This window comes from Homo sapiens, chromosome 1 (assembly GCF_000001405.40).
Source record: "Homo sapiens chromosome 1, GRCh38.p14 Primary Assembly".
NCBI lineage: Eukaryota > Metazoa > Chordata > Mammalia > Primates > Hominidae > Homo > Homo sapiens.
The window spans coordinates 170144815-170169621 of record NC_000001.11 but is presented as its reverse complement, the minus strand read 5'-3'; the positions used below and the strand labels follow the sequence as shown (position 1 = coordinate 170169621).

The window sequence follows — 24807 nt, the reverse complement described above, 5'->3', positions numbered from 1 at the left end:
AATAATATGTGATTTAGGATGAGAAAGGGGAATGATGATCAACCTCAATGACCCAGCTGAGTTGAAAATCATATATCAGTATCTACAGGAAAATTATGTCATTCCCTCCATAAGCTCAGAAGCCCATAGCAGAGAATATTGACAACTGTGTCAATCAGCTTGTGAATATTGGCAAAGCAGAAAGTCAAGGGTTAAGAGAATTAAGGATACTGGTGAAAGAAACAGAAAATTCCCAGGATGAGCCTAAAAAGAAGATTCTGCTAATTTGCTCTAAGAATTACAAAGGCCTAAAACATAAGTACCATTGTTTTGCTGCACTTAGACTGTTTGGTAATGGTTTACCATTTGATTTAGCTCTGGTCCCTGGCTTGCTTGTCACGGATTCTGAGTGGCACGCTACCCTAGAGCATGGCGAGTAACATACAACAGCTGTAAGATGCCAAGAGCAGAATAGGTGAAATAATTTTCCAGCACGCTAAATGAAACTACCAAGGTAAAGCTACAACAATGTATTAAATGTTTTATCAAAATTGTTTTCCTCTGAAATGAGAGCTGTGACCTGAAAATACTATTTTATGATGATAGCATATCCATGTAGTCTGTCTTCTTTACTTAAATTGATTATTTGCATTTCATGGAAGACTCAATACATATCAAGCACAAATGTGCTTCCCTGTGAAGGATGTTGAAGTGTTTTAAAGACAACAGCAGTTATATTTAGCATTCTGCTAATAAAAATTGAATTACATTTTTTGAATGATTTTAGATTATTTTTAATTAAACCAATGTCCAGCTAGTCAATTTTCAGGGTTATCATTTCCTTGTCCATTTCTTTTGCTGCTTCTCTTTCCAATATACATTCATATCAATCAAGACCCCAGGAGCAGCTGCAATGAACCAAGCCATGTTGAAAAGCAAAGACTAAAATTAGATTATCAATGACATTTACTTATATGTTAAAGGTTGAAATTTCAGGGCACAACATTTTCTCCTGAAAGGAGATACTTCCCATCACTGTAATGCAGACTTCTGTTATCAAATTACATCCATATTACATCATTGGGTAGTAAAACTGACCCAAAATAGAAAGTGAAACCAAATACCTTTTCTGCCAAGAGAAAGGCTAAAGAGAAAATTAAATAATGGACTTGTTTTCACAAGATTATTTTGACTAGTGTCTTCTTAATTAGAGGGAGATGTTTGTTCAAGAGAAGTAGTAGTACCAAAGAGGAAGTATAATGTAGCTGACATGAAGGCGGGGAAAGGAGTGTAGATTTTCTCCTACCCCCACCCCCACCAGAATACTCTATAATACTAATTATCAGGGAACAAGACAGTTTGGAATATGTGGGCATTGTTTCTTTTTCTTTTTTTTTTTTTTGTTTGAGTAGACAAATGCTTTATCTGAACAACCCCCAAAGCTAAATTATTTGTTTTCCTTGATGCACAGAATGCTGATTTCATCTTGTGATGGAAAAACAAAAAAAAAACCACCATTTTTGTCTAGGATGTTGTGAAAGACAATTTTTACAAATACTGATGCAGGCCAGCTGTCCTTTATGCCTTCTGTTTTCATGCACGCTTGCACAGTTTAGATACATACAAACGGATTTAAAGCACGTTTCCTGATATTTCACTCCATTTTTTTTTCAGAAAATCCACAGAATTTGTGCATGTCTCATCAGAGTGTGTGCATTATATAATCACTGAAAACATGTACATATTATATCACAAATAATTTGCAGACATATGTTGTATCCCTTTTCTTGCCATCCCTATCTGCATTACAAGGGGCACCTGGAAGGATAGCAACCCCATCCCAAAGCACCACTGCCCAGTCCAGTCGTTCATTCCCACTGCTTTTTCAGGAGTGTCTGTCGCTGTGCAGTGCGAACATCCACACGGGGATGCACTGCTCTGGGAAGCCATCCTGCTTCTCCTGGCCCAGCACCACCAGCCCACTCTTCCTTATTAGGCTCCGGAGGATGTCCATGTCCCGAGTCACACTGCTGTCAGAGAGATCAAGGATACAGCCCTCCCGGGCCACATTGTCCTTCAATATGATGATGCCATTTTCTTTCAGGCCATCTCGGCACCGGGAAAGAAATGCAAGAAGGTCCTTATCAGTCAGGTGCCCTACAAGGGAGACCAAGTGGATGGGGGAACAGGAAGAAATGGTGGGGAGGATGGAAGGTGAGTAGGGAAGAACATGGCTAAGAATCAGGAGACCATTTGTTCACTCATTCATGATTTAATAGCCTCATTTAGTTACAGGAGGCTTTGAAAATTTAGATAAGAGGACACATATCCTCTTAGAGAAGCCTCTGTCCCCGTCTATAAAATGTATTATCCTACCTAGCCTGTCGACCTCATAGGCATGAGATAAGTTATTGTCTACCCCACAAGTCCCTCCATGTCCCCTGGAGAACCCCCTCTATTACCACTTCTTTGTGTCTCACACACACACCCCAAAATCAAATTCACTGCTGTCTCATTTCCTGGGGATTTAAATCTAAGAATGTCTAGTTCTGCCAATAAATGGGGATTAACCTTTTTGACTGCACTTTTGAAATTTTTTCAAGTATTTACATTTCTTCGAGGATTTAGGTTGGTCCAAAGGCACTTGCTCCATTTAAGTTGGTTCGAGAACCAACGTAAATCCTCCAAGAAATGTAAATTTATTGTACAGAAAATGTCAAGGGAGAAATCTGGAGGATCAGAGTTTTGTGGGAGTTCACATGACACCTAAGGCTAGCTAACTGCTTGAAGTACTACAGCTAACTCTTCCCTGGTGCCCTCATTAGCCCCAAGGACTGTCTTCTCTGGCTGAGAAGGGGAGAAAAGCAGAGGGAAAGTCATGCAGGACTAACCAGAGACCCACTGAATCCAGATGACATCATATCTCCTGAAGGGGGGTGTGAATTCCTGCAGGCTGTAGCAGTGGTAGCTTTCTACTTTGTCACCTTTGACCTGCAGGTAGTTCTGGGCTTCAAGGAGAAAGGATTCCATCATATCCACCAGCTCCACACTGTTGAAAACAGGCAATAAGACGTGTTTGCTGACCCTTCCTATCCCGGAGCCGCAGTCCAAGGCGCAGTCTGTTCCAGCTCTCCCAGGCCCCTGCAGAAAGGCACCTTGATATTTCAAGTACAGAGACCCATCCTTGAAAATTGCACACCCAGGCCGGGCGCGGTGGCTCACGCTTGTAATCCCAGCACTTTGGGAGGCCGAGGCGGGCGGATCACGAGGTCAAGAGATCGAGACCATCCTGGCTAACACGGTGAAACCCCGTCTCTACTAAAAATACAAAAAAAATTAGCCGGGCGTGATGGTGGGCGCCTGTAGTCCCAGCTACTCGGGAGGCTGAGGCAGGAGAATGGCGTGAACCCTGGAAGCGGAGCTTGCAGTGAGCCGAGATTGCGCCACTGCACTCCCGCCTGGGCCACAGAGCGAGACTCCGTCTCAAAAAAAAAAAAAAAAAGAAAAAAAAAAAAAAGAAAGAAAATTGCACACCCTAGTTACCTCTTTAAATCAACTTTATTAGGTAAATTTTATGAAATGAAATGTACCATTTCTTGTGTACAATTTGATGATTTTGGACAAATGTGAATAGCCATGCACCTACTACCACAATCAAGATATACAATTATCTTTTCAAAAAACAGCTAAACATTTCTAGTCCTGCTTTCTTTATTTATCCAAAAAAAGAATTATAAATGAGATTTAAAAAAATAATATCTTAGGTTTAAACACTTGGTAATTTTCTCCAAAAAAAAAAAAAATGAGCCATTGCTAGCCCTATGAAGATAAAACTTTAATGACTAAATTTGAGACAAATCCACAGGTAAATGGTTCTACACTACAGATTGTTGCCTACAGATTATTACACTACAGAAAAGCAAAAAAGAACCAAACAGTGAGAACCTTTCTGAGTTTTAAAATTAAAGATTCATTCAATGGAAACATTTCAGTTTGGAATACTTGAATTTTATCTTTTCTAGGCAAATTTTGAAGGCTCTGAATTATCTACTCCTCTTAGGTGGATGGTAAGTTTGGGAACCTGAGGTGAACAATGCTAACTGTTCCATTCTCAGGCCAGAATTTTATTTCAAATACAGCCCTGATGGCACACAGCAAGTTCACATGGATAAAGGGTAGTTTTGGCAAAGTTTCCTTGTGTCTTTTAATGCTAAACATTGTTTTCTGGGTTTTTTTGGTACCAGAAACTACATGATTTATTGGGCATAAAACTCTAAAACTGTTTTTTTAAGTAGGTCTGTGCATTAAATTAACTGGGAGTGAGGGGATGGCAAGGTGGTGGAGGTAGGGAGAAATCAGCCTACGCAAACTTTCTCAAACTTGCTTCCATAAAATTTAAAAAACTTTTCTGATTTATGAAGATTCAGATGGTCTAAATTATTTGGTCATAATTGGGATGGCTGCTGAAGCGGTTTTGTGCTAGAAATTACAGTAACAAGATACTTGAAGTTGCCAATCAAGATCTTAAGGGAAAAGCCTACTCTTGATTTCTCAGGAACTAAGAATAAAAAAAAAATTGGCTAAGGATCAAAGGTAAAATACAAACAGAGGGAAACATCAGAAAAGCAGCTTTCCAGTCCACCCAAATGGCCTTCGTTATGCTAGAAAAGTACAATGAAGAACAAAAAGTGAAGGAATTGTAACTTCTTTCCAAATGGAATAATAATAGCCACAATTATTATTTATACACAGCAAGCTCTTAGCTATAGTAATTATAATAAGAAAACTCCACAATATAGATTATTATCCTCATTTTGGAGATGAGAAAACTCAGATTTCTAATATTTCATAGCTAATGGCAGAATTAGAATTTGAACAGGAACGGTCTGAATCCAAAGCCAGTTCTCCATTAGGGATGTCACCTCTGATTCCCTTGGTAATATCTGTCTAATGCTATGTTAAAAAGAATTATAAGGCTTCATTTAGACTCAGCAGAAAAGAGATCTATGATTGATTAGTGATGTCTGCCTCAAGCATGAGAAGGGGAAGTGGTAATATACTGCCATGTGTTTGCCATTTTTACTTACACTATGCCACATGTCACATTCAAATATAATTTAGACTAAACTAATTCAGAAAAAGGCCTAGGCATGAATGCTGTGAAAGAAGCATCTTCTAAGTAAATTCATAACAAAAAGATGAGCAGTATATGGAGAAATTATGTCATTATTAGAAATGACTACTAAAATGTGTATGCTCAATAAGAGCGTCTCATTTCAAATTTTTCTTTTTATTACTTGGCCTTAAAAGCCTCTATTGGTCATGCTGCTCTCATTAGTGTAGTAAGTGGTTTCAGAAGTAGAATCCTGGAACAATAAAGCACCATGAACTTTATTGGACACCATGGCTGCCTGAAACTGTGATTTTATTAAAATCTGATGCCCTTGAATGAATATGACTAGAACTACATGCGATGTGTGATTTCAAAACAAGACGGTCTTTTTTTTTTTTTTTTTTTTTTGAGATAGAGTCTCATTCTGTCACCCAGCCTGGAGTGCAGTGGCACGATCTCAGCTCACTGCAACCTCCACCTCCCGGGTTCAAGTGATTCTCCTGCCTCAGCATCCCGAGTAGCTCAGATTACAGGTGTGCACTATCACACACCACTGATTTTTGTATTTTTAGTAGAAATGGGGTTTTACCATGTTGGCCAGCCTGGTCTGGAACTCCTGACCTCAGGTGAGCCACCCGCCTCAGCGTCCCAAAGTGATGGGATTACAGGTGTGAACCCATTTGGTTATTTTGATTTTCATTTATTATGCCATGTTTATACTTATGAATCCATATAAACTAGTAAAACACTATTAGGAATTTCAGTTTAGTTTTGATTCTGCCTATGTATTTTGTTTTGAAGAACATTATTTTAGGTTTATCCAGTGGAGTTAAAAAACTAAAATGAAAGGACCTCATGTCACTGTGTAAAAACTATAAAATATAACAAGTTAGTAGACCCAGATTTTTTAGCTATCCAATCTTTGAGAAATGTCAAAAAATAAATACTGTCAAAAAAATACTGAGGGGTTTTTATGAATTACTACTTTCTCCCACTAGAAAGCTAAAACAGGAAAGTTATCAACTATGGCATTGACATCATCTTGGTATCATTTGTTTATTTGCTAAAGTAAATACATTTGCAACTAGTTTAAACACCTTTTCCCACTGTCTCATGTCATTAAGTGTTGAAAGGAAAACAAAACTTTAAATTAAACAATCTTCTTTTCGCAGTTGACACAAGAATAAGTCATGTCAGATACTCGTATTCCCTAACTCTTTGTATCTTGACCTGAATACTAATCTAGTAGATTACAGTATGAAGGTCAAAGTACCAAAATATCAGTCCTTAAAAAGGACTGCATTTGTACTTAGAAGTCACAGCTTTACAATGAGCCTTGTGTACTAAGAAGGACTCCTTATATTTGTTTCAAAGGAGCAGGCTGCCTCTTTTCCAACATAAATATGCTAGCGCAAGGCTGTTTCCTTTCCCAGGTCTGTGGGCGTGCTTATGGGCTCTGTCTGACCAGCATCCCTGTGGTCAGCTTGGCATTCCACACGGAGTGACAAGACAGCTGGATTACTAACTAAGCTTCTGAAATACTTTGGGATCAAAGTCGGCCTCACCACGAGGCAAGCAGGAGGGATTGCTTTCAGCCAGACTGGAGGAGAGTCGAGGTCTATGGTCCACCAAAAAAGTAAATAAATAAATAAATAAATAAATAAATAAATAAAGCAGGGATTTTTTCAGTTTCATGAGACAAATGGAAAAAATATGTCATGGTTAAGAGCAGAGAGTTTGGTGTCAGGCAGACCTGGCTGGGCTTAATTCACTGTTCTGTCTCTTACCAGCTGTGTAATCTTGACAACTTATTTAACCTCTTCAAGCCTCAGTTTCCACAACTATAGAAACAGAGCTAATAATAGCACTTACCTCCAAGAATTGGCATGAAGAGTAAATGAGACAACGCTTCTAAAGCGCTTAGCAGATTGACTCTCTCAGAACCAGCATTCAGTGAAACCAGTCAGCAGCACTGATTTAGAAATACTCCAAGTTAACCTAACCTATAAATATCCACAGTCTTCATTCCTAGACTCTCTAGTCCTTTATGGCTGAAGCTGATGTCCAGACACTTTGGCCCCAGTAAATACATCATCCTGATCACATTTTTATCTACTGTCACTCTCTGGACTCACACACTGGGTGCTCCAGGAAGATTGGATTTGAAGTGAACCTCACCTCAATACTAGAGATATTAATGTTTTGCTACTAAATCGGTTGATGGCCTAACCCCACGGCCTAATGTTTATGTTTCCTTTATCAGAATAAAATGGGCACCAAATCTCAAACCAATGACTTTGTAATGTATTGGAACAAAACCTGTTACCAATTAGAACTTTTCATCTTTAATAGAACTAACAGCAGCTTTATCTTGGGGTTTAAGTCTTTTCTGTTGTTGCTTTGCTTTGCTTTGTTTGTTTGTTTGTGTGTTCGTTTGTTTGAGATGGAGTCTCGCTGTGCCACCCAGGCTGGAATGCACTGGCACGGTCTCAGCTCACTGCAATCTCCGCCTCCTGGGTTCAAGCGATTCTTCTGCCTCAGCCTCCCCAGTAGCTGGGACTACAGGCGCGCAACACCACGCCCGGCTAATTTTTGTATTTTTAGTAGAGACAGGGTTTCACCATATTGGCCAGGCTGGTCTCAAACTCTGACCTCGTGATTCACCCACCTCAGCCTCATAAAGTGCTGGGATTACAGGCATGAGCCACCATACCCAGCCTTTCTTGGGGATTAAGTCTTTTCTAACAACTAAATGAAGTTCCTTAAAATACAATGAATACATTATATGAAAGCCTGTTAGTAGTAGTAATAGCAATAAATTAGATTTATTGGGTACTAATTTTGTGCACTAAAGCAGGTACCTGACATGTATTATCTCATTAGATCTCCACATTATCCTGTGAAGTAGCTTCTATTGTCATGCCCTAGTCACAAGAGAGAAAACTGACACTTGGTGCATTTAAGTAACAAGCTCAAAGTTGCTTATACATTAAGCAGAAGAACCACGATAGACATAAAGGCCAAAATTTTGACCCCTACAATATACTGTCTGTCTTCATATGACATGACAGTAAGGAAGTAATAGGGGTTGACCCAATGCAGGACTACAAAAGGATACCATTCTTTCAAGGTAAAATCAAAACTATGTATAAAATAGTATAAAAATATTCTACCTTCATTGTTTTTAAACTGAACATAATCATGTATTTCCTTCTAACTTTTTTTTTTTTTTTAGACGGAGTCTCACCTGTCACCCAGGCTGGAGTGCAGTGGCGTGATCTCGGCTCACTGCAAGCTCTGCCTCCCAGGTTCACGCCATTCTCCTGCCTCAGCCTCCCAAGTAGCTGGGACTACAGGCGCCCGCCACCACGCCCAGCTAATTTTTTGTATTTTTAGTAGAGACAGGGTTTGACTGTGTTAGCCAGGCCAACATCTCATTTTTATTACAGGGAATCAATAAGTCAACCCAAGATCCCAAAAGGCATGATCTGTCATCAATCATTTGGGTATGAAACGTTTATGAGACTCTAAAAGAGATGTCTTCTTTATTCCCAAATTTTATATCAACACTGCTAATTCACCTTCCTCTGAAGCATGTAAGATTAGTTGGTGATAGGACAGTGAAATGCCAAGTGGGAGGGTAAGACAGTGTTATTATATTTATCATATCAAAAATGGTTCATCCTTTCTGAACATCTTAAAACCGGCTTGCAGGCGGCAGAACTCTTGGCTGGGTCATATGGCTTAGTCGTGACTTAAATAACAACACAGAGGCATGCGAGCTCAATGTTTGCAAGGACTTTGCCTTCTCATCAAGCTGCAGTTGAATAACTCACCCCAACAAATTTCCTAAGAAATTTCTGAGAGGCCTGGATGTCTGGGCTGGACAGTTCAATGAAATTTCCCATCATACCCTCTTCTGTGGCTGGTACTTCTTGGTAGAAAAGTTTAGCTCTGGCATAGAACTGCATCTCACCATTGATGACTTGGCTTGTTAAAGCGTACAATTTCACTGCAAATGAAACATTATTAATAGGTATTAATATTTATAAGATAAAAAAATCTCAGCTTTATGCATTGCATTTCCTTTTAAAAGCCTGTGAATCTGTGCTGTGGCAAAAAGAGCACTGGTTTGAAGTCAAAAGATTTGGGTTTGAGTTTTGGCTCCATGACTTATGCACTATGTAATGCTGGGAAAACATCTTAACTCCTCTGATCTTCAGAGATCGCATCTATGGATTATAATAATCGTGGCATTTTCATGACTTAATAACTCTATAGTTGAATAAACCCATAGCTATATCACTGTATTAAAATTTTTAACAGTGTTAGCTACAATAATGTAAAGAATGTCATCAATTTTGCAGTGAGTTCTATCTCTGAACTCCAAATGTTTTCTGAGAATTTTCTCATTAAGCTTATAATAAAGTTTAATGAAAAAATTACTTCTAATCGCAAGGTAGGGGTAACTGTTTTTATATCTTTTTCAAGCAACACATATCCAAATATGTCTTCATATCAATATTACAGAAATGTGCTTGAACTCTACATTGTGAAAATAAAATAATAAAGGAAACATAATATTTATTGTGCAGCCATTCTGTCCTAGGTAGTGTGCCAGGCACATTCACATATACTTTGTCATTTCATTATTTTCAAAAATGTATAAGAAAAATATGTGTTCCAACTTCTGAGGAATAAATGAGAGTACACGTAAGTGTGTTTTGCAGCTAAAATTCACCCATGCAGATATAAAATATTTTCATCATAAGACATTCATGATAAAATGATAGACAGTAGATTAAAGGATGGAACTTCTGGTTCAAGATTGTAGGCTGAGTACATGCATTTGTCTTCTCTCCCTCCCAATATTCCCTGAGAATTATCTTAAAACACTAAACCCATAATAGTGAGGAAAATGAGAGGGTATCACTGACAGATTCATGATTCCAATAAATTTCTGGACAACAAAAAGCAGACGGAACAAAGCTAAAGAATTTGCAGGCCAAAATATTTGCAAGAGTAAATTACATTCCAGACTTAGAATCAGCAGGAAGGCAAATGTACGAATGAGAATGGAAACCAAAAAAAAAAAAAAAAAAAAAAAACCAGAGCATAAATCAAAACTCTGTCCAGAGAACAACCAGGTAAGAGGGCAAGTGCACCCTCCTAAAAGCAGCAGACAGCACAGCTGTAATCCTAGAAAGGGAAAATGTGTCTGTTGTCTTAAAAAAGAATAAATAGACAAATTGCCTAGGAAGAGCTAGACCAGTTAGCATTAAAATGTTAGAACACTACTCATTTTCACATATATAAGACTCCAAGTACTGTCACTTACTCCCACTCATCAGAATCTGGTAAAATCTACCTGCACATGTAGGGCTTCTTGTCTTCCTTTCTATTTAGGGGACAAGTACAAAACAAAGGAAACCTTATCTATTGCCTAGAATTATTTACCTTGTTTTTTATTCCTAAATGTGGATAAATGATCTCCAAACACATAAGAAGCCTGAAAAACAAAGACTGAGATAAATAATCAGAACTGACCTCAAAGAAAACAAAAATAATTCAGGAAATGGATGAGAATTTAAGCCAAAACAAACGAAAAACTCATAAATCTTTGAAGAGATATGAGAACAGGCACATCCATAAATTAAAGATAAGATTCCAAGAAAATTATAATTAAAAGAACAATAAAGAATTCTTATAAATTAAAGTTTTGATGACCAAATCTTTAAGATACAAAGTTGAGTAAATTTCCAGGACATAAAACAAAAAGATAGATATGCAAAACAGAAATAAGAAGACTAGACTTATATAAGCAATTCAGAAGGCCCAAGATCAAGCTAATTAGAATTCTAGAAAACTAATAAAATGAAGGGAAGAAAATTATTAAAGAAAGTAATAGAAGAAAATTCCCTGGAGCTGAAAGAGACTGTAAGATCTAACAGTGCTGAGATGCATAGATTTTTTTTTAAAGCCACATTTGAGCACATCTGTAAGAAATTTCAAAACAGAAAGAGTAGTAAGAAGATCTAAAAGTCATTTAGAGAAGGAAGAGTGGTTGACCTTCAAATAGGATTGCCAGATTTAGGGAAAAAAAATACACAACACACATATTTGAACTTCAGACAAATAATGAATAATTTATTGGTATGAGTATGCCTGAAATATTGCACATTCCAGGGTAAATACTTACACTAAAAATTATTTGTCAATTATGTTAAAATTAAACTTAGCTGGCATCATATATTTTATTTGGCAACTCTATGTTCAAAAGACTAGAATCAGGCTTCTATCACAGATCTCATCAGAAACACTAGAAAACAATGGCACAGTGCCACCAATATTCTGAGATCAAATTTTTGGAAACTAAACTTCATATCCAGTCAAATTATTATAGAATATTTACCTCCTATAGATTCATTCTTCAGAAGTTTCTTGAAGCTATATTCCAGCCCAATGAGGGTTACAATCAAGAGAAGATGCACGATGAAAGATGACGTAATTAACCAGGAATCCAATGAAAAGAAATCCCAAAATGACAGATATGTATCAGATCTGGAAAGAAATCAGTTTATATTACAAGACAAAACATAGACTTCAAAAATAATATCTTTAAGTAGAATAAGCTAGATCCAAGGCAATAGAGTAGTCAAGAAGCAAGGAGATATTAGAAATATTCTAAGGAGGACATACTTTTAATCTAAACCACCAAAAATAAAACATAATTGAAAGCTCCAAGAAAAATATACAGTGATTCAAAAATGTTATGATCAGGGCATGAAGCAAGCCAAAATATGACATAAATTTGAGCAGAAGAAATCAAAGAGAAAAATACCTATTTCACTTTAACTAAGAGCATTTTTCTTCAGATAACCCCAAGACTGAGACATTGGATAGTATTCAGAAATGAACAATTACATAATTCCAAATTTTGATTCTGAGAGTTAAAAATCCAAAAAATACAACTTGTATTACTATGACTATGTTCCATCTATGGAGTTACATCAGCATTTTCCAACTTGGAGACATTGGAGCCAGTGTTTGTACCCTGAATCACCATGAATTTGCTGAAAGGGATAATGAGAACAAGAATCAGTTTCTATGTAGCACATCATTTTCTGGAGGCCACCAATATTATTTATATCCTCCATACATGTTAACTATTATACATAGATTGTTATTTTAAAAATATAAATCTTTTAAAAGTTTAAATAAATACATAGAAGCTTTTTTGCTATTTTACATACAAATTAGCTACTGATTGAGAAAATACAACATTAAAAGGATGGTCCTTATGTTCAAAAACATTGAGAACCATGGATCAACACCAATCTCCCTTCCCTAGCACTTGGTAAAGGGTATACGCAGCAAGTGACTTAATAAGTGCTTATAAATTCAACAGGGATGACAGAAACCAGCCATCACCAATAATATGACTGTTCCAAATTCTTTCGATGTCTCAGAAAATCAGGCTAGGAACTCACAGCTCACAGGCTGCCCAGGGTTGGATGCTACTCTGGGATTATTGGCAAGCCATAGCCCAGGGCTCTCTTGATCCAACCAAAGCAGCAAAGCAGCCACACTCATCATCACCTGCTTAAGTCAACTGGTTTGTGCAGTCTATTAAAACCCTTAATCTAGAAATAGGAATGGTCCATTATGCCAGCAACATTTAGACCACAAGTGAATGCCAATCTCAGCAGGCGTCAGACTCAATAGGTGGGCTTTTATGGTTATAGGCTTGAGTTCTCATTTTCACCTAATTGACAGCAGCATTTCACTAAAAAAAAAAAAGATATATGAGGTGTCATGTTCGGCCCCAGGTTCTCCCCTCCTGAAAGCTTCTGCAATTGTGCATATTGACTCAGATAAGTAAACCAGTCACCAGCACATGGCTTTTTACTATAGAAATATATATACTGGCAAATTAAAGAATTGCAATGTCTCTGTGAAACTTGGGGTAGTTCAAGACAAAAACTAGACACTATTTGTTTTTTATTTAATGTAATATTTATTTATTGATCTACATTATTAGTTGAATTCCCAAGGACCTTCCACTGTTTACTTGTGGTGAAAAGAAAAATAGAGTACAAGTTTGTTTACTCTGAAGGAGAATAAAGATGAAATTTCTAGGAAAGGTTAATATCCAAGAGAATTTACATCAAAAGACAGTTCATTCATGATTCAGTTATTAAGCCCCAGTACAACATTCAGGAAATAAACATAAAGCTCAATCTCTCTCATGGAGATTACACTCTAGCATGGAGGAGTTAAGTCATATGGCTGCATGTCCAAAGAATAGTACAAAAAAATGCGCTGGGCATGCAGCAGATGCCTGCAAGTAGCAGCAAGAAGACTCCATAAGACCTTAACCATGAAGGATACTTTTTATTTGGGTTAGCAAAAAAATGAGCAGGAAAGAAATGTCACATGGCATGAATTATCTGGATAAAACTCAGAATTTTCAAATGCCTCCTTGAGAAACTCTTTTGCAGGTAGCAAAAGAATTTTGTGGCTTAAGGTCTCAACTTCTGACTCTAAGAAGCAAATAAGTCAGTTTACCTTGAGGCAATGCACCATTTGATGACTTTTGCTGTCTTTCAATATAAAAATTTGGAGAAAAACAGAATACTCACTCAAAATCTTAATCTGGACCTGAAAGGAAATATTGATCTAGTATCAGAGACAGGGACAACAAGTCGAGACAATATTATCCAAGTTGGCAATAAAATGAAGACTTTCTGACAAACAGGAAGTTTTGTTGATAGCTAAGTGCTTACCTCTGCTGAGTATCCTCTTTTCTTTCTTCTTTTTTCAAGTGGTTGAATATACCTATTTTAAAATGCCTCTTTATTCCAGCTATTAGACCTGTTTGTCAATTAAAAAATGATCTAAAATTCTTCAGAAGACAAGTAAGCTAGGTTTAGACAGTAATTTTTAAATGAGTTGAGTCTGATAATATTTGATCAAGTTAGCCCTTTGTAACAGAAAAAAAAAGCCCAATTAGGAGATGCCCCTATGAAAGGTAAGACCTTCCATAAAAGAGATTTGCAGATAAGTACTTCTCAATTTAGCCATTAAAGAAGTAATGGTAAAATAGGAAAAAAGGAAGGAAGAGAGGAGGGAAGAGAGGGAAGAAAGGAAAGGAAAAAAGAGAGAGGAAGGAAAAAGTTGGAGTAAGACATTCCTGGATTTGTTTGCCAGCTCTGACACTAATTAGTTTTATGATCTTGAATAGGTTACATAACTCATGTTAGCCTCAGCTTCTTCCTCTATAAAGAGGTAATGATACCTGTGTTAGGCTGTTCTTGTGTTACTATAAAGAAACACCTGAGACTGAGTAATTTATAAAGAAAAGAGGTATTTAATTGGCTTACAGTTCTGCAGACTGTACAAGAAGCATGGCGCTGGCATCTGCTAAGCTTCTGAGGAGGTCTTAGGGAGTTTTTACCATGGCAGAAAGTGAAGCCAGAGCAGGCATGTCACATGGCAGAGCAGGAGCAAGGGGAGGGGTGGGGTGTCACACACTTTTAAACAACCAGATCTCATAAGAACTCAGTCACAAAGAGGACAGCACCAAGCCATGAGGGACCTGTCCCTATGACCCAAACACCTCCCACCAGGCCCCACTTCTAACATTGGGGATTATATTTTAACATGAGATTTGGATGGGACAAATATCCAAACCATATGATTCTGCCCTGGCCCTCCAAATCTCTTGTCCTTCTCACATTTCAAATTCCCTTCTCAATAGTCCCCCAAAGTCTTAACTCATTCCAGCATTAACTCAGAAGTCCCAAGTCTCAAGTCACAAGTCTCATCTGGAGATGAGTTCCTCCACCTACAACCCCATAAAATCAAAACAAGTTATTTATTTCCATGATACAATGGGGATACAGGTATTGGGTAAACATTCCCATTCCAAAAGGGAGAAATAGGCCAAAGGAAAGGGGTTAAAGGTCCCTCACAAGCTTGAACCCCAGCCAGCAGGGCAGTCCTTAAGTCTTAAAGCTCCAAAATAATCCTTGACTCCATGCCCCGCATTTGGGCACACTGAGGTGTGGACTTCCAAGGTCTTGGGCAGCTCCCCTCCTGGGCTAGTCCATACTGAGGTTGTAAACTGCAGGTGGGTCTGCCATTCCCAGGTCTGGAGGCAGTTGACCCCCTTCTGATAGCTCCACTAGGCAGTGCCCCCAGTGGGGACTCTGTGTGGGACTTCACCCCACATTTCTCCTCCACACTAGTAAAGGTTATCTCAGTGTGGGGGGCTCCACCTTTGCAACAGGCTTCTGCTTGGGTGCCCAGGATTGCCCATACATTCTCTGAAATCCAGATGCTTGGCAGCCTCCACTACTCTTGCACTCTGTGAACCCACAGGCTTAACACCATGTGGAAGCCAACAGACTTACAACTTCTGCCCTTCAGAGCAGATGCCTCAGCTGTACCTGGGTCCCTTTGAGCCACAGCTAGAGCTGGAGTGGGATATGGAGAACAGTGCTCTGAGGCTACACAGGGTAGCAGGGCCCTGGGCCTGGTCCCCTGAAACCAGTTTTCCTACACTACTGGGTCTGTGATGAGAGGGGCTGTCTCTTAGATCTCTGAAATGCCTTCCAGACCTTTTCCCCATCATCTTGGCTATTAGCACCTGGCTCACTTTTAGTCATGCAAATCTCTCTAGCAAGTGGTTGTTTCACAATCTACTTTAATTCTTACTCTGAAAAAGCTTTCTTTGCCACATGGCTAGGCTGCAAATTTTCAACTTTTATGCTGTGCTTCACCTTTAAATATAACTTCCAACTTTAAGTCATTTCTCGCTTCCAAATCCTGGTTAAGCTGTTAGAAGCAGCCAGGCCACATCTTGCATGTTTTGCTGTTTAGAAATTTATTCCACCAGATATGCTAAGTCATCACTCTTAAGTTCAATCTTCCAGAGATCCCTAGGACATGGATACAATGCAACTAAGCTCTTTGCTAAAGCATAACAAGGGTGATCTTTGCTCCACCTCCCAATAAGTTTCTTATTTCCATCTGAGATCTCAGCATTCTGGCCTCACTGTCCTTGTCACTATCAGCATTTTGGTCACAATGATTTAACAGCTCTTAGAAGTTCCAAACTTTTCCTCATCATCTTGTCTTCTGAGCCCTCCAAATTCTTCCAACCTCTTCCCATTACCCAGTTCCAAAGTCAATTCCACATTTTCAAGTATCAGATGCTTCCACATGTCAGGCATTTCAGGAGCAACGCTCTACTCATCAGTACCAATTGTCTATGTTAGGCCATTCTTGCATTGCTATAAAGAAATACCTGAGACTGCTTAATTTATAAAACAAAGAGATTTAATTGACTAATAGTTCTGTACGCTGTAAAAGAAGCATGGCACTGGCATCTGCTCAGCTTCTGGGGAGGCCTTAGGGAGCTTTTACTCATAGCTAAAAGTGAAGCAGGAAAAAGCACATCACATGGCAAGAGTGGGAGTAAAAGGTGGGGTGAAGTGCCACACAATTTTAAACAACCAGCTCTCATGAGAACTCACTCATTATTTTAAGGACAACACCAAGGCATGAGGGATCCATCTTCATGACCCAAACACCTCCTACCTGGCCCCACCTCCAACACTGGGGATTACATTTCAACATGAGATTTGGATGAGACAAATATCCCAAATATATCAAAACCTATCATACAACTTGTTGAGATTATTAAATGAGATAATGCATGTGAAAACACCTAGTATGGTGTTTGGTTTAGAGTAGAAGCTCAATAAATGTTACCCTCCTCATTATATTTTTCATCAACAATGGTGGTGGGGGGGGGATTTATCAGTGTTTCTGGTGAAATCCAAGGTTTAAATGTGCCAGGATACTAGAAAGCTGTCATTACCAAGTCTCTGGATTGCCCAGAGGAACCCTCTAGGTTTTATTTGCTCCCTATAGGCTTTAGGTGTCTGATGTTTCTTATCTCTAAAATAGGGCGCTGCCTATTCTGAAAGTTGTGTGGGGCTTTTTTCTTTTCAACTGAGGGCTAGTTTAGTGTTTCCTGACTTCTAAATTGGGGAAAGACAATCTACTTTCTCAAATTCAGCAAGAGATCTATCCCCTACCTACTCGCTGAGTGTCTTCCTAACTCTCTTCTTTCTTGAACTCTCTATCTGACCTACTATCAAATCTGAGAAGGCCAGAAGTCAAGGGGAGATACTGAAGACAGATTTTTCATGATGAGATTTGACTCAGCAGTCCCCATGCTTCCTTTGCACCTCTGTAGAATTTTATAGTGGTCTCTACCACTTTAATACCACATTTTTAAAAAGTATTTGTGTACGTCTCTCTCCTACACTAAACTCTTCAGGATAAGGCTATATTTTATTTTTTTGTAATCCTAGCACTTAATGTTATGCTAACTTCTTGATGGGCCTTCTTTGAATGTTCATTGAATAAAAGCTAGCTTTTTGTTCTTTAAATAATATATGGGTACAAGAAAGAGCTGAATGGTTATAGGGATTAACCGACATAAGCACACATAAGTCATACCTTTGGTATCATTTATGAAATACCTGTCCTCCCAATTAGGCATACTCAAATAATTAAAAAATAGTAACTATAGATGATCAAACATGTTTATATGTAATACTTATGCAAAACATTTATATCGAACTGACTATGTGAGATAAACATTATATATCCATTCTACAGAAGAAGAAACCAAGGCATTAAGAGATTAACTAAATTTCCCAAGGTTAAGCAGCTAGAGAGTGATAGATCTGGGACTTGAACCTAGGTCTATTTAAGTAGAAAACCTATAGATCATCCCTCTCATACTCTGCACCTAAAAATATGTCTGCTAAATAAAAAAGAAAATTATATTTTCTTCATTGCTTGAAAGAGAAAAATGGTCTTGCAGCATTTGTATTGCACAGGTAATGATAAACATTTGAAAATGTATCATTGTACAATGAGTTGTGCAGCAATGCCTACCACAGGAATGAAATAAATTTTTAAAATACCAATAGCTGTATGGTGAGTTTTATTCTGGAAGTTCCAAGTGCTTTTTAGGAAATGTTGTTATTAACTCTGGCTTTTAACTTTGATGGCAAAGGGGTAGCTAAACAATCTATGTCTTTGCCATCAAAGTTAAAAGCCATAGTTAATTTCCTCCTCAGAGACTGATTCTTCTGAAAAGGGATCAACGCAAGAGAGGATACCTCCTATGTGCCAGGTATTATGCTAGGTACTTTCAAGTCACCTCTTCACATTGTCTCTTTTAACTATCACAATGATTATATAAGACTAGAATTATAATCGTCATTTTATAGATGAGTAAGAGAATCAGAGAGACTTGGTAACTTAATATCACATAGAAAAGAAACGTCATAACCAGGTCCTAGCACATGCCTATTCAAATGCAAAGCTTCTGGTCTTTCTGTTAAACCACACAGAACCATTGTTCTACACATGAAGTTGGGCTAAGCCTTTAACAATGTCTAGGAGTAATAGACTTTTGCTCAATAATATAATTAATGAATATTCATTGACTTCTATGTGTTCAGAAATGTGGATAGCACTGGAAGAATCATTGAGTGTTAAGTTATTCCTCAATGATTGTTACTAAACATGGAGATGTTGTCCCAACATCTCCAGTTGAGCCCTTTGAGCACTGGTATACACACTGGAGATTTCCACTGACTTGTTTTCCCATTCTATTTCCTATTTGTTCATGAATAGCCATTTTTTGAAAATTTGTTCACACCAAGCTTCTAACAGAAATTTGGTTGGCATAACTAGATTATTTAAACCTATTTACTGGCCTGCCTATCTTGATTATCTCAACAGAAAGCGAATGCTCTTCATAGGCTATGTTTGTTCCCTATTCCTGTTAAATCATAAAATATGGTAAAACTTATATTGCTGCCCACATTAGTTAAGTTTTCATTTACATTGTATTATGTAGTGGTTTAAAAAAGATCATGGAGTTAGATCACCTGGGTTCTAATCCTGCTACTCCACTCACCACCACAAGATCTTTGGCAAGTTACTTAACTCATCTAGGTGTCAGTTCTTCAAATATAATATGGGGAAAATAACAGCACACCTAATAGAGATGTTATAAAAATGAACTGAGATAATATATGCAAAACACTGAGAACAATGATAGGCTTGTTCTCACTTCTTTCTGAAGATCAGTTATGTTCAACAGCATAGCTGAGTCTTCCATTGGAGATTTTTAGTATGTATGTCTTTGCTATTCCATGAATCTCTGAAGCTTGCCAGGGATGTTTCAGCAAATTTCCCCATGACTGAATGTCACCACATATCGTGCTGGAGTGAGACTGCTGCCTAATCTAGGCAGTTGGAGGGAGGAAGGAAGGAAAGAAGGAATCAAAGAGTCTGGTTAGCCACCGTTCTTTCCATATAATTACCCCAAACAACAAACTCTCTGTGCAGACCCTACAGGAGAAGTTCCTAGCCTTTTTGAAAGAAGGACTTTATTTTCATTTCTATGAAGTCTTGAAATTATCAAGAGTAGAGGAAGCTGACTCTAAAACACCTCAGCAGAGCTGGAGAGGAAGCATCTCTTCTGGCTAAGTTTTATTTCCAAACTGAAAAACATAATTAATACTCACTGCAGCCTGAAAACTCTCATATTTTGAATTAAGTTTATCGTTTTTGGTAATGCCTGTTCTAGAGAAAGCTACATGGTGACTTTAAAAGAGGCCTGGCTCAGAGGAAGGAAATAAAGAAACTAATATTTACTGAGGAGGACTATTTCACATATATACCAACATTTAATCCTTCAATCAACTCTGCTGTAGTTTTAAGAAAAATTATACTCAGAGGCTTTAGTAACTTGCAGAGGTTAGTTTTCTAGTAGTAGCAGTGCAAAAATTTAAACTCAGAACTTTGCTGATCTGCAATTAATTATTAGTAAGAGGCCATTTAATTCATTTAACAAATATTTTTTGTGTTTTTCCTATGTGCCGGGAACCATGGTAAATGCTGAATAGATACAAAAGAGGAAAAAATAGGCGAGTCTTTACTCTCATGGGAATGAGAGTCCAATAGGGAAACTAATACACGCAATTGCATTCCATAAATATAAGTTATAACCTCCTGGGACAAAAACCAAAGTTTAAATGAGTGAATCAAGGATTAAGGGAAGCCTTCTAATTGAATAAAAGTCACACTGGCAGATAAGACTTACATGCAGATTCCTTTCTGAACATTTGGCTTCTGCCATTAGAGGAAAAAGCTACAAAAAAATCTGAGTATTCACAGAACTGGTAGCCTGATTTCCCTGCACCCTTAGTTTAAAAGGATTAATACACAGTTATTTGTAGATTTGCATCCATTGTCACATTATAAAATCCTGAAGAATGGAAACTGTCTTATTAATATTTGAATCCTTTCTAATGCACAATACTTTGACAATAATGAAATTCCATAAATGTCTCTTACATTGAATATGACTGAATTGATCAGAACTAAGCATTGTCTGGTATTTTTATCTCCAAAATACAATATTTTTCCCTGTAGCAGAAACATTTTCTAGTGAACAAATATATATGTGCTCCCTTCATATTGCCCAGAATTCTTGTAGTTCTGGACAATGAATTCTAAGCAGATGTAATAGATGTCCTTTGGGGCTGAAGTTTTTAAGAGCTAGTAGACAAAACTTTGGCTGCTCTATTTGCTTGCCTGGTGACTAGTGATGTTCCAGCTGGCAAAGCCTCTATCATCCTGGATCCCTGAATGCCTGTGTGGAATATAGCCTCCCCTCCACAACTCCAATAATGCATGTTGAAAATGATGTAGCAAGAGAAAAAAATATTTTTTATGTATTCAGCTATTAAGATTCCAGAGTTAATTTGTTACTGCAGCCTATCCCAGTCCATATTGACTAACATAGCCCTAAATTTCTATCATCAAAGAGGTACTGTGGATGAGGCTAGCTCTGTGACTCTCAGGCAAACTAATGTCCAGGTCAAATCATCAGGGTCAGAGAAAATAAGCAATGCCCATTTATGGAAAGCTGCAAATAAGTAAAATGAAGGCAATGTTGGCTTGGGATAGACTAATGGTTTTCAAACTGTGTTTATGGAACCCCACAGGTATTAGAGAAGTGCCTCTGGACGGGCGGATCACGAGGTCAGGAGATCAAGACCATCCTGGCTAATACGGTGAAACCCCGTCTCTACTAAAAATAAAAAAAAAAAATAGCCGGGCATGGTAGCGGGGGACTGTAGTCCCAGCTACTCAGGAGGCTGAGGCAGGAGAATGGAGTGAACCTGGGAGGTGGAGCTTTCAGTGAGCCGAGATTGCACCACTGCACTCCAGCCTGGGCGACACAGTGAGACTCCATCTCAAAAAAAAAAAAAAAAAAAAAAAAGGAGTGCCTCAGGAGACAGTGGTAAGTCTAAGAGAATAGACCAAGGAAAGGGTCCTGCCCCCAATCCTATGCAGAAAAGTTTCCCTTTTTCCTGTATTTTACATTGGGCGTCAGTGGAATATTTTGTCAAAAACTTTGCCTTTTGATAATAATGTTTTTTTAAAAGGTCAAAACTCATTGGTAAAACATTAGCATATTTACAAAGGAGAAAAACACAAAATCAAAATGATTTTATTGAACAAAAAAAGGGATTGAGACTAAATATAAATTATAGTCCATTTGTGCCAAATTAATTTTCATCTGCTTTTCAGAAGAGACTATTGTATTCAACTTTTTAACTCATCTTCAGCTGCCTTCAAAGGTGACTTCTTTTTCTCTCTAGTAAATATTTTTAAAGTTTGACAGTCATCTGCCTGTTAGTGACTCTCTTCTCAGCTGTTGTAATTGATATCTTTCTCCAGTCTAATAAAACCAAAGCTACCAACCTACTCTTATTGAGGTATGGCCTGAAGAGTGTCTCCAGAAAAGCAATGCTTTGCCAGTATATGAAGTGACTAGAACATCATCACCTTCCATTTAAACTGCTGTATTTTTTTTTCCTTTTGGATATAGATGAGATGTATTATACGTCCTAAAAGAATTACTCATGGGCAGTGTGATCTACCAAAAAAAAGCCCTGGACTTTGGTCTTTGCTTTCATATTACTCTATCTAGATTAAATATCATCATCTCTGAATTTTACTTCCCTCCTTTGAAAAAGTAAAATGAAAGGAAGAAGGAGGGAAGATAGGTAGAAAAAAAAATGATAACTTACCCTATCTATTTCATAGTGTGACTATGAGAATCAAATAAAGTCATAGACGATAAAAAGTTTTAGAAAGAAGTTATATAAATATGAGATGAAGGTATTTGTATGTTTAGAATTAAAGATCCCTCATAAATGGATTTACAAAAAGGTTTTGGTAGGCTGCTAACATTCGGTTGCTTGAATGCAATACAAAGAATTATGTAGCTGCTTCGACAGCTGGAAACCCTGACCACATCAAGTGCACAATGGGGCTTTCAAACGACCTTAAGAAAACAGACTAGGCTGATACACAGCCTTCTTGCTTTCACTGGGGGAAAATACAAATCAAAGGGAGAAGGGTATTTTACTCTTTAATGGTAAGTTATTTCCTCTTCAGTGCTGTTTAGGGTGCCCTGAAGTAACTGCTTTCACAGAGGCTGAAAAAAGTAGAGTAGGCAAAACAGATAAGCTTTTTATTGCTCTATTGTCCAATTCTCTGAAAACTAGAGGAGATAACAAAAATGGAGACAGACCACTGACTTCTTAATATTCAAAAACCAAGCTAAAATCTCCTTTTTTTAGGCTCTCTGACTATTCTTGTGATTCAAGAAGACCGCAGAGGATTGTAAGTGTGTACACAAGCACAGACACAGAAACATACATACATAACCCAAGCACATTTTGATCTATCATTATTTAGTCTTTCTTTTTAACTCTTACTCAATGTATTAATGCATTAATACTCTCATCTTTGAATTATCAAATTTGCCCAATTACAATTTTTTGTAAATATTAAACATGTCTGAGTTTCTACAAGCCTGATACTCATGCAACAGACACCCAGAGAAGCAAATCACAGTGCCTGAGGGTGCATGGAAATCCCAAAATAAAGTCCTGACTCTATTTTAGGCACTTAATCTTTGTATTCTCCATAAAGAATTCCACTGAAACATTTCAGCCCAGTGACATTGGTTGTGGAGTTTTTTTTGTCTGAAAAGTGTCCTTGTTTTAAATTCTCTTCTAGAAGCCCCATGACCTCATGCAATCCCATCAGTCATTTCTTGTTTCTTATCTAGTAGCTCTGACTCACTTACCCAGGGGAATTTTTTCCAGCAGGTAGAGATAGCTCTGAAAGAAGTCATTGCGAATGGCTTTGTGAAGGATAAAAGACATGCTATGTCTACAGAGTTCATCGTCGGTCTTCTGCCAGCGGGATCTAAAGGCAAAATGGGCTCCCCGGTGGGCCATGACAAAGGGGGATAATAATGATTCCTACAGAGAAAGGAAGCTTGCCTTGCTGTTTCTTTGAATTAGCCTTCTCTTTCTAAATGAACTTGAGACTGTCATTTTAAACCAGTCCCCTCTCCATCTATATCAGGACAGGCTGTCATGGGTGTGGGGAGGAGGGGCAGCACACAGTGGGAGGGGAGGGCAGGCTCTTGGCACGTCCCTCCGTCTGATTGCTTGGGTGACACCACTCCAAGCCAGCAGGTGCTAAGTAAGGATGAAAACTGGCTGAGAGAGATCCTGCTTCATCCAGGAAAAAGCACGCCTCTCTCCTTTAGCCACCACTTCAAACAGGCAAGAGCACAGCCTGCTAACACCCTGAATATTTGCCTTAATTTGATTTCTAAATTGGAATAGCCTAATTTCCATTTCAAAGAGTTGTGAATATTTTGCAAGAGATCTTGTTCCCTGATTTCCATCACTCCTCGTAGAACACTGAATCCTCAAATTACAAGGACCCTTCAAAGTCATCTTAGCCACTCATGCTCCTTTCATCAGTACAATTTCTCCCAAATAATTTCATAGAAATGTGTATGTGTTTCCTATTTTGAAGGATCTTCAAGAGAAGCAATTATTTGAAAGCTTGTTTTGACGTTAAATATCCTTCTCTGTCAGCAAACTCTTCCATCTAGCTTGCTGTAAACAACAACTATTCATGTAAGCCTGTTTCTTCCTCTCTGCCTACTCTGAATATAATTTTCCTCTTAAGTACATTTGTTTTCTGTACCGGGTATCTTCTGATTGTCCCTCCGGATACACTCTCCACTCTTCATACATTACTATGTGTTCCCCAGGAGGCTGACCTACATCAGTGGACTCCATTGCCCTCTAGCTTCTAGTTGGCTTTAGCCAATGGATAGTGCCAGGAGGAGACAGGAGGAAAGTGAGGTCAAGGTATTTATTCCCTTGGCACCTTCTCTGTGGAAATGCCATGAGCTGACCATATCCTTTAACAAAAGGTCATACGTCTGACCAGGGTCTTCTCATACAAATATCCTCTCCTGGTTCTGTTCATTTCTCCTTCACCTGACTGCTTGAGGCCCAGGGGGAGTGATGTATCAGGTGACAAGCCCAATTCCTTGTAATTTTCCTATACTTGCCCACATATTTGTAAATAGTCCCTTTATTAAACCAGTTCGAATTCCCAATTTGTGAATTCCATCTGTTCCCTACAGGGACCATGACTACTGTTTTCCTCCCCTTATGTTCCTAACAGGAAAATGTGTAAGATCTCAATACACTATTGGCCCTATG

At 38.1% G+C, this 24807-nt stretch overlaps 1 protein-coding gene and 2 non-coding genes across 6 annotated transcripts, besides 2 other annotated features; 1 reads left to right on the top strand and 2 right to left on the bottom strand.

Annotated features, from left to right (window-relative positions):
* Positions 1 to 755: 755 nt before the first annotated feature.
* Positions 756 to 23663, bottom strand: NTMT2 (N-terminal Xaa-Pro-Lys N-methyltransferase 2). Of its 4 annotated transcripts, XM_011509233.3 has the most exons (6): positions 23361 to 23663; positions 13735 to 13753; positions 11505 to 11653; positions 8929 to 9104; positions 2871 to 3120; positions 756 to 2136 (listed from the first exon to the last, which is right to left on the bottom strand). In XM_011509233.3, the coding sequence occupies exons 4-6, from the start codon at positions 9061 to 9063 to the stop codon at positions 1865 to 1867; spliced, it is 657 nt and encodes a 218-aa protein (XP_011507535.1). In that variant the 5' UTR covers positions 9064 to 9104; positions 11505 to 11653; positions 13735 to 13753; positions 23361 to 23663; the 3' UTR covers positions 756 to 1864. The 4 variants fall into 4 exon arrangements, with proteins under 4 accessions (XP_011507535.1, XP_011507534.1, XP_011507536.1 ...); XM_011509232.3 differs by lacking the exon at positions 13735 to 13753; XM_011509234.3 differs by lacking the exons at positions 13735 to 13753; positions 23361 to 23663 and adding an exon at positions 13661 to 13725.
* MIR3119-2 (microRNA 3119-2) lies at positions 18160 to 18244 on the bottom strand. The gene has a single exon (NR_036065.1). It is a non-coding gene; the product is annotated as a microRNA 3119-2 (primary transcript).
* MIR3119-1 (microRNA 3119-1) lies at positions 18160 to 18244 on the top strand. The gene has a single exon (NR_036064.1). It is a non-coding gene; the product is annotated as a microRNA 3119-1 (primary transcript).
* Positions 23020 to 23550: an enhancer, noted in NCBI's record as "OCT4-NANOG hESC enhancer chr1:170115213-170115743 (GRCh37/hg19 assembly coordinates)". NCBI's record gives its function as "activates a minimal SCP1, AML or CMV promoter by ChIP-STARR-seq in naive H9 embryonic stem cells {active_cell/tissue: H9 hESC(naive)}" and the evidence as "EXISTENCE:reporter gene assay evidence [ECO:0000049][PMID:30033119]".
* Positions 23551 to 24082: an enhancer, noted in NCBI's record as "OCT4-NANOG hESC enhancer chr1:170114681-170115212 (GRCh37/hg19 assembly coordinates)". NCBI's record gives its function as "activates a minimal SCP1, AML or CMV promoter by ChIP-STARR-seq in naive H9 embryonic stem cells {active_cell/tissue: H9 hESC(naive)}" and the evidence as "EXISTENCE:reporter gene assay evidence [ECO:0000049][PMID:30033119]".

Coding starts and splice junctions, on each gene's coding strand:
- NTMT2 (NM_001136107.2), bottom strand. CDS start 23,514: ATGGCCCACCGGGGAGCCCATTTTGCCTTTAGATCCCGCTGGCAGAAG. Junction 3,121..8,928: donor TTCTTAGGAAATTTGTTGGG/GTGAGTTATTCA, acceptor GCCTTTCTGCAG/GGGCCTGGGAGAGCTGGAAC. Junction 2,137..2,870: donor CTGGATTCAGTGGGTCTCTG/GTTAGTCCTGCA, acceptor TCTCCCTTGTAG/GGCACCTGACTGATAAGGAC.